At 38.1% G+C, this 13,095-nt stretch overlaps 1 protein-coding gene across 11 annotated transcripts in view; it reads right to left on the bottom strand.

The window, feature by feature from the left end:
* SLC9A6 (solute carrier family 9 member A6) overlaps positions 1-13,095 on the bottom strand; it is a 73,433-nt gene that overhangs the window by 35,591 nt on the left and 24,747 nt on the right. For all 11 annotated transcript variants that reach the window (NM_001400909.1, NM_001400910.1, NM_001400911.1 and 8 more), the window contains 3 exons: positions 12,711-12,823; positions 9,466-9,571; positions 1,096-1,237 (listed from right to left, as the gene is read on the bottom strand). In NM_001400909.1, coding sequence (NP_001387838.1) covers positions 1,096-1,237; positions 9,466-9,571; positions 12,711-12,823 — 361 coding nt within the window. The remainder of the gene's footprint in view (positions 1-1,095; positions 1,238-9,465; positions 9,572-12,710; positions 12,824-13,095) is intronic.

Here is a 13,095-nt window from a genome sequence, read left to right as displayed (position 1 = left end):
TATCGAAAGCACCAGGGAGGCAGAGGTCATGTTTGTCTTCTTTAGCTTTGATACACAGAGCACAGCACATGTAGCAGGTGATCCAGACATGCCTTCTGGCTTTTTGTTTTGGGTGGGGGGTTTAAAACATGTTTTTAGGCCGGGCACGGTGGCTCATGCCTGTAATCCCAGCACTTTGGGAGGCCGAGGTGGGTGGATCACTTGACGTCAGGAGTTCGAGATCAGCCTGGCCGACATGATGAAACCCCATCTCTACTAAAAATATAAAAAAACTTGCTGGGTGTGGTGTTGCGCACCTGTAATCCCAGCTACTTGGGAGGCTGAGGCGGGGGAATCGCTTGAACTCGGGAGGCGGAGGTTGCAGTGAGCCGAGATCGTGCCATTGCACTCCAGCCTGGGCGAAAGAGTGAGACTCCGTCTCAAAAAAACAAATAAATAAATAAAAATAAAATTTGTTTTTATAGATTCAGGATGCACAAGTGCAGTTTTATGACATGGATATATTGCATGGTGGTGAAGTCCGGGATAAAATGGCCTTTGCATGAACACAAGAATAACTTGACTAAGTGGTAGTACCAGGACTACAACTCAGGTCCTTTGGGCTTCCCGTCCAGGGCTCTAGAGCACAAAGTTTAAAATCGGGAGAGCTGAGATGAACTCTTACATATCCTAACCAAGGAAACACATTTTGTTCATTCGGCGTCGCTGTTGTACATTTCCTATTTGTCCTATTAAACAAAGAGCAAAAGACTGCCAGGCTGACCAGCAACACAGAACACCCAGAGGCTCTTTGGAATATGTCTACCTTTACAGCTATTTAATCTACAACTATAAAATTCACCCTCAGAGAGATATCATCTCTAATTATACACTTGCAGTGAAAGTTTTAGGGCACCAAACCCTATGCAGAACAATACAGTTCTTTTATTTATTTATTGGCAAAGACTGTTGCTTAATGTTTTCAAACCAAGTACTTAGTTATAAGATTAATAATTCTAACATAATTCTAATCATAGAACTAGGAAAAACAACGGAATACAGCATTCAACTACTATATTATGTTAACAAGAAAAGATAAATATAACAAAAGGATATTAAAGCTGTCACCACTCCAGTAGCAGCACCCATTGCAAAAGATCCACTGAAGATTCCAAGGAAGATCCCAATAGACTTGAACATCGCTGTGACATCAAAGGTGTGACTGTTGTCTCCAGCTGGCTGGTATGCCACTATTGAGCTACAGAAGAGAGACTGCTTTTACTTCTGAAAACAACCTTTACTTTTAAAAAAACATTATGTAGTATAGAGCTTGAAAGATGAAATTAGAGGGAGAAGAAAAACAAGCTTTCGATTGGAATTGCCAAAATAAGGACAAAATTACCCAAAAATCCTGCAATGTATCTGGCTAGCAAGAAAACTTGGCTTTCCCTTAAATGTTAATTTCGGGGGGGGGGTAGAACATTGTAAAATCCTCTATATGAAAATTGCACCAAGCTTTTTCCCCCATCCCCAAGATACTGTGCAGTATTATTCTTTTGTGATTCTGTTTCAGAATTACTAGTACTGAGTGTCCGAAAGCCTTAACATACTAATGTGAACAAACTAATGAAAAATCCCACTTGTTTCCAGTAGAGGCATAAGAACATAAAGAACATTATTCAATACTCAACCCAGTCACATTTTGTTTTTCCTATGAGAAAAAAAGGTAACTGAAGGACCCTTCCAACTTTTAGAATTCTAGAATGGGCCAAATGCCTAATATCTATTCATTCACTGAAATGGACTATTATAGGAAAAAGCACTCGAAAGACCTCCCAAGGAATTAGAATCCACTCAACAGTACTTTCAGCATAACCAGCTGGATCTTCCACCTCAAACTTCTGAAAGAAAGTCACTCTATACCAGGCCAAGACAGGCAATTATAGGAGATGCTCTCCATCTTGAACTCACAGTCCAAACCTGGTCTGAAAAAGCTTCTTTTGTAACAGTTACCACCCCAGGAAATAGAAATGCCTGAGAAAATTGCTGTTGCCAGCAGGTCTTTGGCAACGGTGCTTACCGTTACTAAATCAGTTCTCATCTCAGTTAATTGAGAGACCAGCATTATAAAAAGTCCAGACTCAACAACATCATACAAATCACGTCAAAGAAAAGAAGGAAAAACACATTCCTAAAAATATAATGAATTCTCCCTGTGGTTGCTGCAATGTTTTTTTCTGATTCAAGGCTGAAAAATGTTTGCTATACCATATACAAGTTCTTTTCATATCTCCCAGGTTAAAAAAAAAATCTAAGATCAAACTAAAATCTCCTAATTTGTACTTATTTTATTGAAATATAGCACTAATATTAATTTCTGATAATGGGATCCAGAAATTTCTGAGACTCACTCTAAATTGAAAATGTTAAACATTTACGTTTAAATGTGCAAAGCAACCAGATCATTTTGGAACAGTAGATTTGATATCATTTTGATAAATATGAAATGGCCTTTAACACCATGCTACCTTACCTACATATATATAAAGGGTCCCACTACCATAAATGAGATCTGATTTCATTATAACATGAAAATACAGTAACTGGCTGGAGAAAAGAAAAAAATTGCTATACAATCTTCTTTTTCTTTGGTGGTATTTTTCAAAATGCTCTCTGGAACAAAATACCTATGCCATGCCTCCTGAGGTTGCTTTCCCTGGATTAGTTCATGTAAATTCAAGATTCACACTAATCATTATTTCATTCTTTAATCATTAAAATGTATAAGGACACATGGGAAACATGATGGGCTGAGAACAGATGACAGGCTCGTTTTGTTCTCTCTTAGGCAGACACTAGCCTCTGGATTGAAATCTTAACTCATCTTTTCTGTATCAATTGATATTTTATCTTGAGGCAGTAGCATTTTTTATGAATACTTTTTTTTAAACCCTGAAAGTAATAAAATGTACAGTTTAGGTGGAAAAATCTTCCCATCATTCCACTACCCTGATAGATCGATTTTATTTTCCTTCTGTATTCCTTTCCCCTCTTTGTGTTACATGCATGCTAATTCTTATTTAGCTGTAATCACAGTGAATGTGTGGTTTTGAATTATGCTTTTTTAACTGACAATGACATAAAAATATTCATAGTCTTGGCCGGACGCAGTGGCTCATGCCTGTAATCCCAGCACTTTGGGAGGCCGAGGCAGGCGGATCACCTGAGATGGGGAGTTCGAGACCAGCCTGACCAACATGGAGAAACTCCGTCTCTACTAAAAATAAAAATACAAAATTAGCCGGGCATGGTGGTGCATGCCTGTAATCCCAGCTACTTGGGAGGCTAAGGCAGGTGAACCTCATGAACCCGGGAGGTGGAGGTTGCAGTGAGCTGACATCATGCCATTGCACTCCAGCCTGGGCAGTAAGAACAAAATTCCATCTCAAGAAAAAAAAAAATTCATAGTCTTTATAACTACAGTTTTTAAGACTTCACAATGGTCCAAATGGATACAGCACAATTTATTCAACCATTTCCTCATTGTTAGACATTTGAAAGTTGCTTCTACTATTTTTGCTACTATAAATAACTGAAAGAACATCTTCTTGCTTTTTATATATTTTAGACTATTCCTTGCACTATATTTCTAAAAATAGACTATTACTATACCTATGGCTCATTTTACATGTTGCTCCACTGCCTTCCAAAAGGTCTCCATTACACTTTTGGAGGGAAATATGATAATATCTCCCAATTTTTTTAATGATCATACCATTGACCTAGCAATTCTACTCCTAAAAAATACCCTACAGAAATATTTACAAGGATTCACAAAGATTTACACATAAATATGCTCACTGCCATGCTAGTCATAATACAATATTAGAAAATACCAAATATTAATCAATCAATAGGGGATTGGAGAGGTAAATTTGTAATGCATCCACCCAATGTGATAATAGAGGTATTAATATAGTATAATATCCAAGTAAAAAAGCTACAGAAAAGTATATATACTACTATGCCTTTATTGTTTATAAAGATTATTAACATATTTATATGTATACTACTATCTTAACGGAAAAAGTCTGGATTAAAATCCTAATAGTGGTTATTTCTGAGCTGAAATTTCAGGAATTTTCTACTTTTTGAGTCAAATGCTTTAAATTTTTGCCACAAACATATTTTAACATTATCATAAATAGTGATAAAAGGTAATACCAATTTCAATGTTAACAATGTATGAGTGGTCTAGTTTTACAACACCAGGGTTTCTCAACCACAGCATTATTGATATTTGTGGCCAGGTATTTATTTGTTGGCTGTGATGGGGGTGGGGTGAGGGGAATGCTGTCCTGTGCATTGAAAACTTCTACCCACTAGGCCATGTCAATAGGAACCCCCCCCCATTGATGACAGCCAAAATGCCCCCAGACACTGTCAAATATCTCCTGTGTGTGTGTGGTGAGGGGGTGGCAAATTGCCCCTGGCTAAGAATGACTGTACTATGTCATTATCATTAACAATTCTGGCCGAGCACAGTGGCTCCTGCCTATCATCCCAGCACTTTGGGAGGCCGAGGCGGACGGATCACCTGAGGTTGGGAGTTCGAGACCAGCCTGGCCAACACGGTGAAACCCCACCTCTACTAAAAATACAAAAATTAGCTGGGCATGGTGGTGTGCACCTGTAATCCCAGCTACTCGGGAGGCTAAGGCAGGAGAATCGCTTGAACCTGGGAGGCGGAGGTAGCAGTGAGCCAAGACCGCGCCATTGTACTCCAGCCTGGGTGACGAGAGCAAAACTCTGTCTCAAAAAAAAAAGTTATGTCTTGTTAATTGAATAGGTAGAAATGGCTACTGATCCTAGCATGTATCTCTGGTAATTAGTGAAGTTAAACAGTTTATCACGTTTGTTGTCTCTCTGTACATCTTCTTTCATAAAAATATAAATGACTGTAAACAACATATTTTAAACTAATATGGATTTAGGTCCCCAGGCTAATCACGGTAATCCATTCAGTGGAATACTATGCAACGTATACTTTATCTCTAACTACATATACCGTATCTAACATAATATATCAATATACATATAGATCTACCTCATGCAGCCATGTATGAGGGAGTCAATTTCACTTCACCCTCACTGGATTAAAAGCATTATTTTAAAAAATAAAATAAAATAAAATAAAATAACTGCTACTCCAATAGGTTAAAAAAAAAAAAAAAAAAACAGTGCTTCAGGAAGAATAGCTAATGGATGCTGTGCTTAATATCTAGGTGATGGGTTGACCTGTGCAGTAAACCACCATGGCACATATTTACCTATGTAACAAACCTGCACATCCTGCACATGTACCCTTGAACTTAAAATAAAAGTTGGGAAAAAAAAAAACCAGACAGAAACAAAAACAACCTCCAACATAAATTTCAAGATGAGTTGCCTTAACCTGTTAACTGCCAAACAGAACTCCTTCAAAAAGGGGTTCCCTCCCCTTTGATGCAAAGCTGCTTACACAGAATGCAGACAGTAGATAATCCTCAAACTAAGAAAATTCAACACAAAGTAGACTATCTGCATCTAACCCACTTCAAAACACATAAAAGGTAAATGAAGAATGATGAGCATGATACCACTGATCATTCCAGCTAGTAAACTCCCACAGCGAGCACACAACTGCTTTCCCTTCAGCTTTTGGGCAGTAACTCATTTTTTCAATTCTATTAAAACACAGAGCTAACAATTTCTCTGTTATGTTCCTCTCAAGATACAGTCCTTCTCCACCAGAATCCCACTGAGGTTGTAATGAGTTAACGTATTATCTCTTACAAATTTAAAATGGCACTAGCTCGCTATCATCCTTAGGTGAAATGAGAAAAGACTCACTCAAATTGTTTCCTATAAGGCTTCATTCTCTCACAGAAAACCCTGTTTGAGAAAGGCTGCAAGAGAAGAAGTATGGCCCTTTGTGAGAAATGCTATGGAAAGGGCTCTCTCTCTTTTTTTTTTTTTTTTGAGACAGTCTCGCTCCGTTGCTCAGGCTGGAGGGCAGTGCCGAGATCTCAGGTCACCGCAACTTCCGCCTCCTGGGTTCAAGAAATTCTCCTGCCTCAGCCTCCCAGGTAGCTGGGATTACAGGCGTGTGCCACCACGCCTGACTAATTTTTGTATTTTTAGTAGAGACAGGGTTTTGCCATGTTGGCCAGGCTGGTCTCGAACTCCTGACCTCAGGTGATCCGCCCGCCTCGGCCTCCCGAAGTGCTGGGATCACAGGCATGAGCCACTGCGCCCAGCCGGCTCTCTCTTTTTAGCATTTATTCTTCACCAACACTGGTATGTACACCCCCAAGCTTAAAATCTTTCAATGAGGTTTTGACCCCTTTCACACTAATCAACTATTCCTAATGTTGCAGGAAATAGATTATTTATAACTCCAAGCTCAAAATCTTTCAATGAGGGTTTTTATCTTTTCCTCTAACGCTAATCAACTGTTCCTAAAGATGCAGGAAACAGGCAATTTTATTAATAGGAAAAACTAAGGCACAGGGCACATCAGTTTAAGATAAGACCAGAACAGAGATTTTCTAACTCTTAATCCATTAGGCCATTAGGGCAATGATAAGACAACAGTTACTAGTAAGATGACTGAACAGTAGAATAGTTGTCTAGGATAGGGAATCGATGCTAAAAGTGACTGCCTGTACCTACTCTCTTTACTTTGTAGTGCTGGTAATCGCTCATGTACCTACGTACTGGAAGCTTCAACAATCTTTGTTGCTTCATTTTTTATAACATTTTTTATAACCATACTATCCATTTCTCCCTTACTTCAAATAATACAAAACTCTTATTCTGCACCTATCATCATTGAAGGTGCTAAAGTTCAGTATCAATATGAGTTACAGCCTTTAGGTTTTATTTCTCAAGTTAAATTTATATTAGTTGCAGACAGCTGCAAAAAAAATCTGGCAATAAATATGGTGGGGAGGGGGTAATATTTACATACATTGCATTCACAAAAAAGGATATGGCCTTTTGTATATCTTCACATACAACGTTTAAGGGATTAATGTTACATCTGAGAAATAATAATTTCCAACTTTGCAGAAGACAATCAGGCTATGCAAAACAGAGCCAGTGATGTTTTATTCTTTCATAACTAACAAAGTGAAAATTAAGGAGAGAAATAAAAATAAAGAGAAAATGTGAAGGGCTCTTACTTCTCTCTCATAGAAAGTTCTGGTATGAAGTAAGGGCAACTGCCTATAGAGTTAGATATTTGCCTAATAAGAGTAGGTAGGCAGGGGCCAGGCATGGTGGCTCACGCCTGTAATTCTAGCACTTGGGGAGGCCGAGGCAGGTGGATCACCTAAGGTCAGGAGTTCGAAACCAGCCTGGCCAACACAGTGAAACCCCGTCTTTACTAAATATACAAAAATGAGCCAGGCATGGTGGCACATGCCCGTAGTCCCAGCTACTCGGGAGGCTGAGGCAGGAGAATTGCTTGAACCTGGGAGGTGGAGGTTGCAGTGAGTCTATATTGCGCCACTGCACCCCAGCCTGGGTGACAGAGCAAAGCTCTGTCTCAAAAAAAAAAAAAAAAAAAAAAAAAAGATTAGGGAGGCAGGATTGAATTCCTCAGAGGTTCAGACTCATTCTTCAACCTGCAAACACCTTATAGTAACATGTATAGTACTTTCTATAATTAGATAAAAAATATTGCTCATTCAAAATTGTCTGCAATTAAATTGGTATAAGTAATACATAACTACATATCTATAATATATATTAACACTTCTAGAGATTAAAAATGTTTTGAAATGATTATGTCAAATAAGAGAAACACAAATTAAGCTACAATGAGATATTTCTCAATTATCAAGTTAGCAAAAATATAAAAGTTTGACAAATATTCTGCTGGCGAAACTGTGAGGAAACAGACCAATAATTTAATGGTGAAAGTGCGAAGTGCTACAATTTCTTTGATGAGCAATTTAACAATGTCGAACAAAATTACAAATGGATTTTACCCTTTAACCTACCTACCAATCTCACTTTGGGACATTCAGCCTACCATTATACCTAAACATGTATAAAACAAGGTAAGTTCAAGGTTAATCACTGCAGCACCTTTTGGGACAGCAAAGGATTAAAAACCCTTCAAATGTCCTGCTATAGGAGACTGAGCAAATAAACAATAATGCAGTTCACACAGAGAATACTATATAGCTGCAAAGAATGAGAATATTCACTCTTTTGACATGCAAAGTTCTCCAGAAGATAGACAGTATGTAACTTTAAAAATAAGAAATGAGAGGCAAATAAGACTATTTATTCACGGTTGTGCCTGCATTTGAATAAAGAAATACTAAGATAGGTAAGAGACTAATAAAAATGGTTATCTAGGCCGGGCGTGGTGGCTCACGCCTGTAATCTCAGCACTTTGGGAGGCCGAGGCGGGCAGATCACCTGAGGTCGGGAGTTTGAGACCAACCTGGCCAACATGGTGAAACCCCGTCTCTACTAAAAATACAAAAATTAGCCGGGCGTGGTGGTAGGAGCCTGTAATCCCAGCTACTCAGGAGGCTGAGGCAGAAGAATCACTTGAACCCAGGAAGCAGAGGTTGCAGTGAGCCAAGACCGTGCCATTGCACTCCAGCCTGGGGGACAGGAGCGAGACTTCGTCTCAAAAAAAAAAAAAAAAAGTTATCTACAAGGAACTAGGGGGACAGGTGGATGAGGACAGATGTAAGAGTGTGAATTTTCTGTGTGTAACTTTTTACATGACTTTAATTTATGAGCCACGTGAATATATTATGTATTCAGAAAAAATTAAGGCCGGGCACAGTGGCTCACGCCTGTAATCCCAGCACTTTGGGAAATCGAGGTAGGTGGATCACCTGAGGTCAGGAGAAGACCAGCCTGGGCAACATGGTGAAAACCCATCTCTACTAAAATACAAAAATTAGCCGGGCATGGTGGCGGGTGCCTATAATCCCAGCTACTCGGGAGGCTGAGGCAGGAGAATCACTTGAACCTGGGAGGCAGAGGTTGCACTGAGCCGAGATCACGCCACTGCACTCCAGCCTGTGTGATAGAGTGAGACTCTTATCTCCAAAAAAAAAAAAGAAAGAAAATATTAAATCTAATTTAAAAAATTAAATGCTCATGTTGTAATGTTAAAACCGAATACAAAATTATACAGACACTACAATCACAACTATGTAACAATATCATACATAGAAAAGGAAATGTTCTAGAATGTTTACAGTAATTGTCTTTAGGTGGTGGCAGTACATATTTTTCTCTTCCCTGTATTTTCCAATTTATCTATAAAATATGGATTTCTTCAAGAGGGAAAAAAATGCCTCATTCTTCCAAATGTTTCCATTCATAATGTACTTTATTCAATAAGTGACTTTCAGTTCCTAGTACCCTCACACTTAATATTCAGAATATAATAAGAAAACAAACACTTACGAGGACAGCACTATGGCAACAGCATCATTGAGGACACTTTCACCAAAAAGAAGTGCATAGAGTTCAACATCAACTTGAAGCTCGTGGAATATAGCAAGAACAGTCACTAGTAAGTAAAAAGAGTCAGAGGAATACTTAGACATTACAAATATAACATATTCTCCTCAGTAGATGACTCTGAGAGTTATTTAGAAATTCATTTCCTCCTAGAATTCAATCCTAATAAACATTCTCTTACCATATTAAAGACCCCGTAATTTTATATAAATATTTTTCTTTTCTAATTGTGTACCTGCACAAACTTCTCCTCTCTCTCTTAAAAATGGCTGAAAGTAACCCTGAAGAACTGAGTTGGCCTACATTCTTCACGCAGATGTTAATAATCGTGTCTTGTACATTTCTTTCCCACAAAGAATATATTCAGAATTTCTTATAGACCATGTAGTCATTAATCTTTAATGAAGAAGAATATTATGAAAAGAATCTAATGTTGCAAACTTTGTTTCTTTGGGCCTTACAACTCATTTGTACTTGACTTACAAATTGCAAGCACAAAGGTTTAGCAAAGACAGTAGGAAATGAAAACATAGGTTTAGTTTTTGGTTGGGGTAAAATTTATGACCAGAATTACAGCTGCTGGATTTGTCTTAATAAGAAGCCAACTATGAGAATATTCCAGCTTAAGAAGAAAAACAATAAATCCTCCTTTTAGGAAAGCAATTATATGAGAAATCTTAGAAAATCAGATGAAATTGAAGTTATATTATAACTTTAATTACTAAGTCACATAGCTCAGTTACTAAAGAAACCCAAGCGGACATGAAAAATTAATATAACGAGAGGTGAGCCTTTTGGTTTTTTTTTTTTTTTTTTTTTTGAGATGGAGTCTTGCTCTGTCGCCCAGACTGGAGTGCAGTGGCGCAATCTCGGCTCACTGCAAGCCCCGCCTCCCGGGTTCACGCCATTCTCCTGCTTCAGCCTCCCGAGTAGCTGGGACTACAGGCGCCCGCCAGAACACCTGGCTAATTTTTTTTGTATTTTTAGTAGAGACAGAGTTTTACCGTGTTAGTCAGGATGGTCTCAATCTCCTGACCTCATGATCCACCTGTCTCAGCCTCCCAAAGGGCTGGGATTACAAGCGTGAGCCACCAGACCCAGCTGAGAGAGCCTTTTCAAATGCCAATCATAAAAACAAGAAACTTGCATTTTATTTATTTAATTTTTTTTAAGAGACAGGGTCTTGCTTTGTCACTCAGGCTGGAGTACAGTGGCACAATCACAGTTCACTGCAGCCTCAAACCCCTAGGTTCAAGTGATCCTCCTGCCTCAGCCTCCTGAGTCACTGGGATTAAAGACATGAGCCACCATGTCCAGTATATTTTAAAAGATATAGTTTCTACTACAAAGCATTGCAGCTGGAATATACTGATACCAAAGCTCATCAAGAGAGGGGGAGAAGGAGAGTAGAGCAATAGTGCAGAATTTCTAAAAGAAACCCATACCTCACCCTTCTAAGAGCAAGCTAACAATGGTAAAATAATAGAAATGGGGCAAGTACTTACATAATTCAGAAAAAAATAACAGTCCAACTTTATATAAGCAAAAGATATTTGCTTGGGCTATTCAGGCAATAGTCCTATCAAACAAAACCAGAAAGTTGAAATAATGTAGCCAAGCCAATGGACTCATGGACTCAGATTTCTCATAGGATTTGAAAAGTTGAGAACCTTGCTTATAATGAAAGGACACAGAAACCAGAGACCACCGGCTCCTTGCCAAAACCATCCTACCTTCATGTTGATAATGGGAGTAGCTACAAACAATGAGAGGACAGCTTTGGTGGTCTTTAAGGAAGCAATTTAATTTCCAGTTTTAAAAATGCTAAACTACACAAATTCTCTAAAATGGCCCTCTAACTAATCCTTTAAAATCTTTTTTTTTTTTTTTTTTTTTTTTTTTGGAGACAGGGTCTCGCCCTTCTCGCCCAGGCAGAATGAGACTGCAGCCTCACTGCAGCTCACTGCAGCCTCAAACTCCTAGGCTCAAGTGGTCCTCCCACCTCAGCCTCCCAAGTAGCTAGGACTACAGGCACGCACTCCCATGCTCAGCTATTTTTTTTCTTTTTTTTTGTAGAGACAGGGTGTCACTGTGTTGCCTAGGCTGGTCTCGAACTCACAGTCTCAAGTGATCCTACCATCTCGGCCTCCCAAAGCACTGGCATTTATATGCATGAGCCACTGTGTCCAGCCAAAATATCTCTCATAGAGTATTGAACACATTTTTCTCCTTCCCATAAAGCCCTGTGTTATCAGAGTTAACACAGGAATGCAGAGATAACCTTAGGATTCTACCTTTAATTGTGCTGGATGACAATTAAAGATGATTAACTTACAAGGTTAAAAAGTAAAACAAAATGAGCTTCAACGAAAGTCTTAAAGCATGCTAAAAGAAAATTTCCATCCTTAGTTCAAAAACATCAGTCTATGTTCCTACCCCAACCTTTCCATTCTGTGTCTTCTCCAAATTCCTAATTTGAATGTAGCTGTTAAGTTTACCAATACTCTATCAGGAAAACTAAAACCTAACTCAGTACAATTAAATTCATTCTGGAACACAACTTTTAGAAGATCTGACACTTAAAGCACAGGGGAACAAGTTGTGTTAATATTAAACAAACAACTGTATAATCATAAAGCCAATTTTATAAAAACAATTCTTTAATGTATATTAAAGTCCTCCAATGACTCCAAATCAAACCTGTATTAGCACAACTGCCTTCTAACAATCATTTGTAAACATTTTTTCTTACTGTTAAATGCATACAGCTGAATAGAAACTGAAAGATTTTTAGGGAACTGGTTTTCTAAAAGCTTGAAAGGAAATATATAATTATTACCCATTTAAACTAATCTATAATCTAGTTCATCTTCTATACTCAATCACTAGGGATAAAGACCAACATGAATTTCTGAAGAAAGTACCTTATAGTCCTTGTTGAAACAGCGTCAACTTGTGGACCAGTAATAGGCAAATGTAATTAAAAAAAAAAAAAGGAAAAGGAAAACAAATTTGTGCTGAAGCCAAAAGGAATCATGAATTTTGTTTTTTCCTCCACAATTAGAAAGTATAGTACTAAGGAAGTATCTAATCATGAATTCTACACCTCAAAGAAAGAAAAACCCACATGTATTTGACTGCAAAACAATGCACCTCAAGTATGTAAACTCCACTCATATAAAACATACCTGGATCAGTTGCTGATACAATGGCACCAAACAGTAGGCAATCTGTAAAGTAAAAATCTCCTGCAAGTTGTCCCGTTACCTTCATCAGCGTTACACAGCCATACATTATTGACCTGTTCAATAAACACAGTCCTACTTTAGAAAAAAATATCAACTGTTAAAAAAATTAGGATAAAGTAAGAAGATGGGTTTACTGTAGTACTTTGTGACTAATCCCAAATTTAATTCATGTCATTGAAATATGGTAATACTTTGGCCTTAAGGAAAATTCAAACAACTTATTACCTACGTGAATATTGCAAAAGTCTTTAGACCCAGTCAGGAATATATAACACTGCATAAATCAAAAATATATTATTTTAAAATTATAATTTGAAGGCCACAA

The sequence above is a fragment of the Homo sapiens genome, chromosome X (assembly GCF_000001405.40).
Source record: "Homo sapiens chromosome X, GRCh38.p14 Primary Assembly".
In the NCBI taxonomy this organism is placed as follows: Eukaryota; Metazoa; Chordata; class Mammalia; order Primates; family Hominidae; genus Homo; species Homo sapiens.
This window is presented reverse-complemented; position numbering and strand designations above follow the sequence as displayed.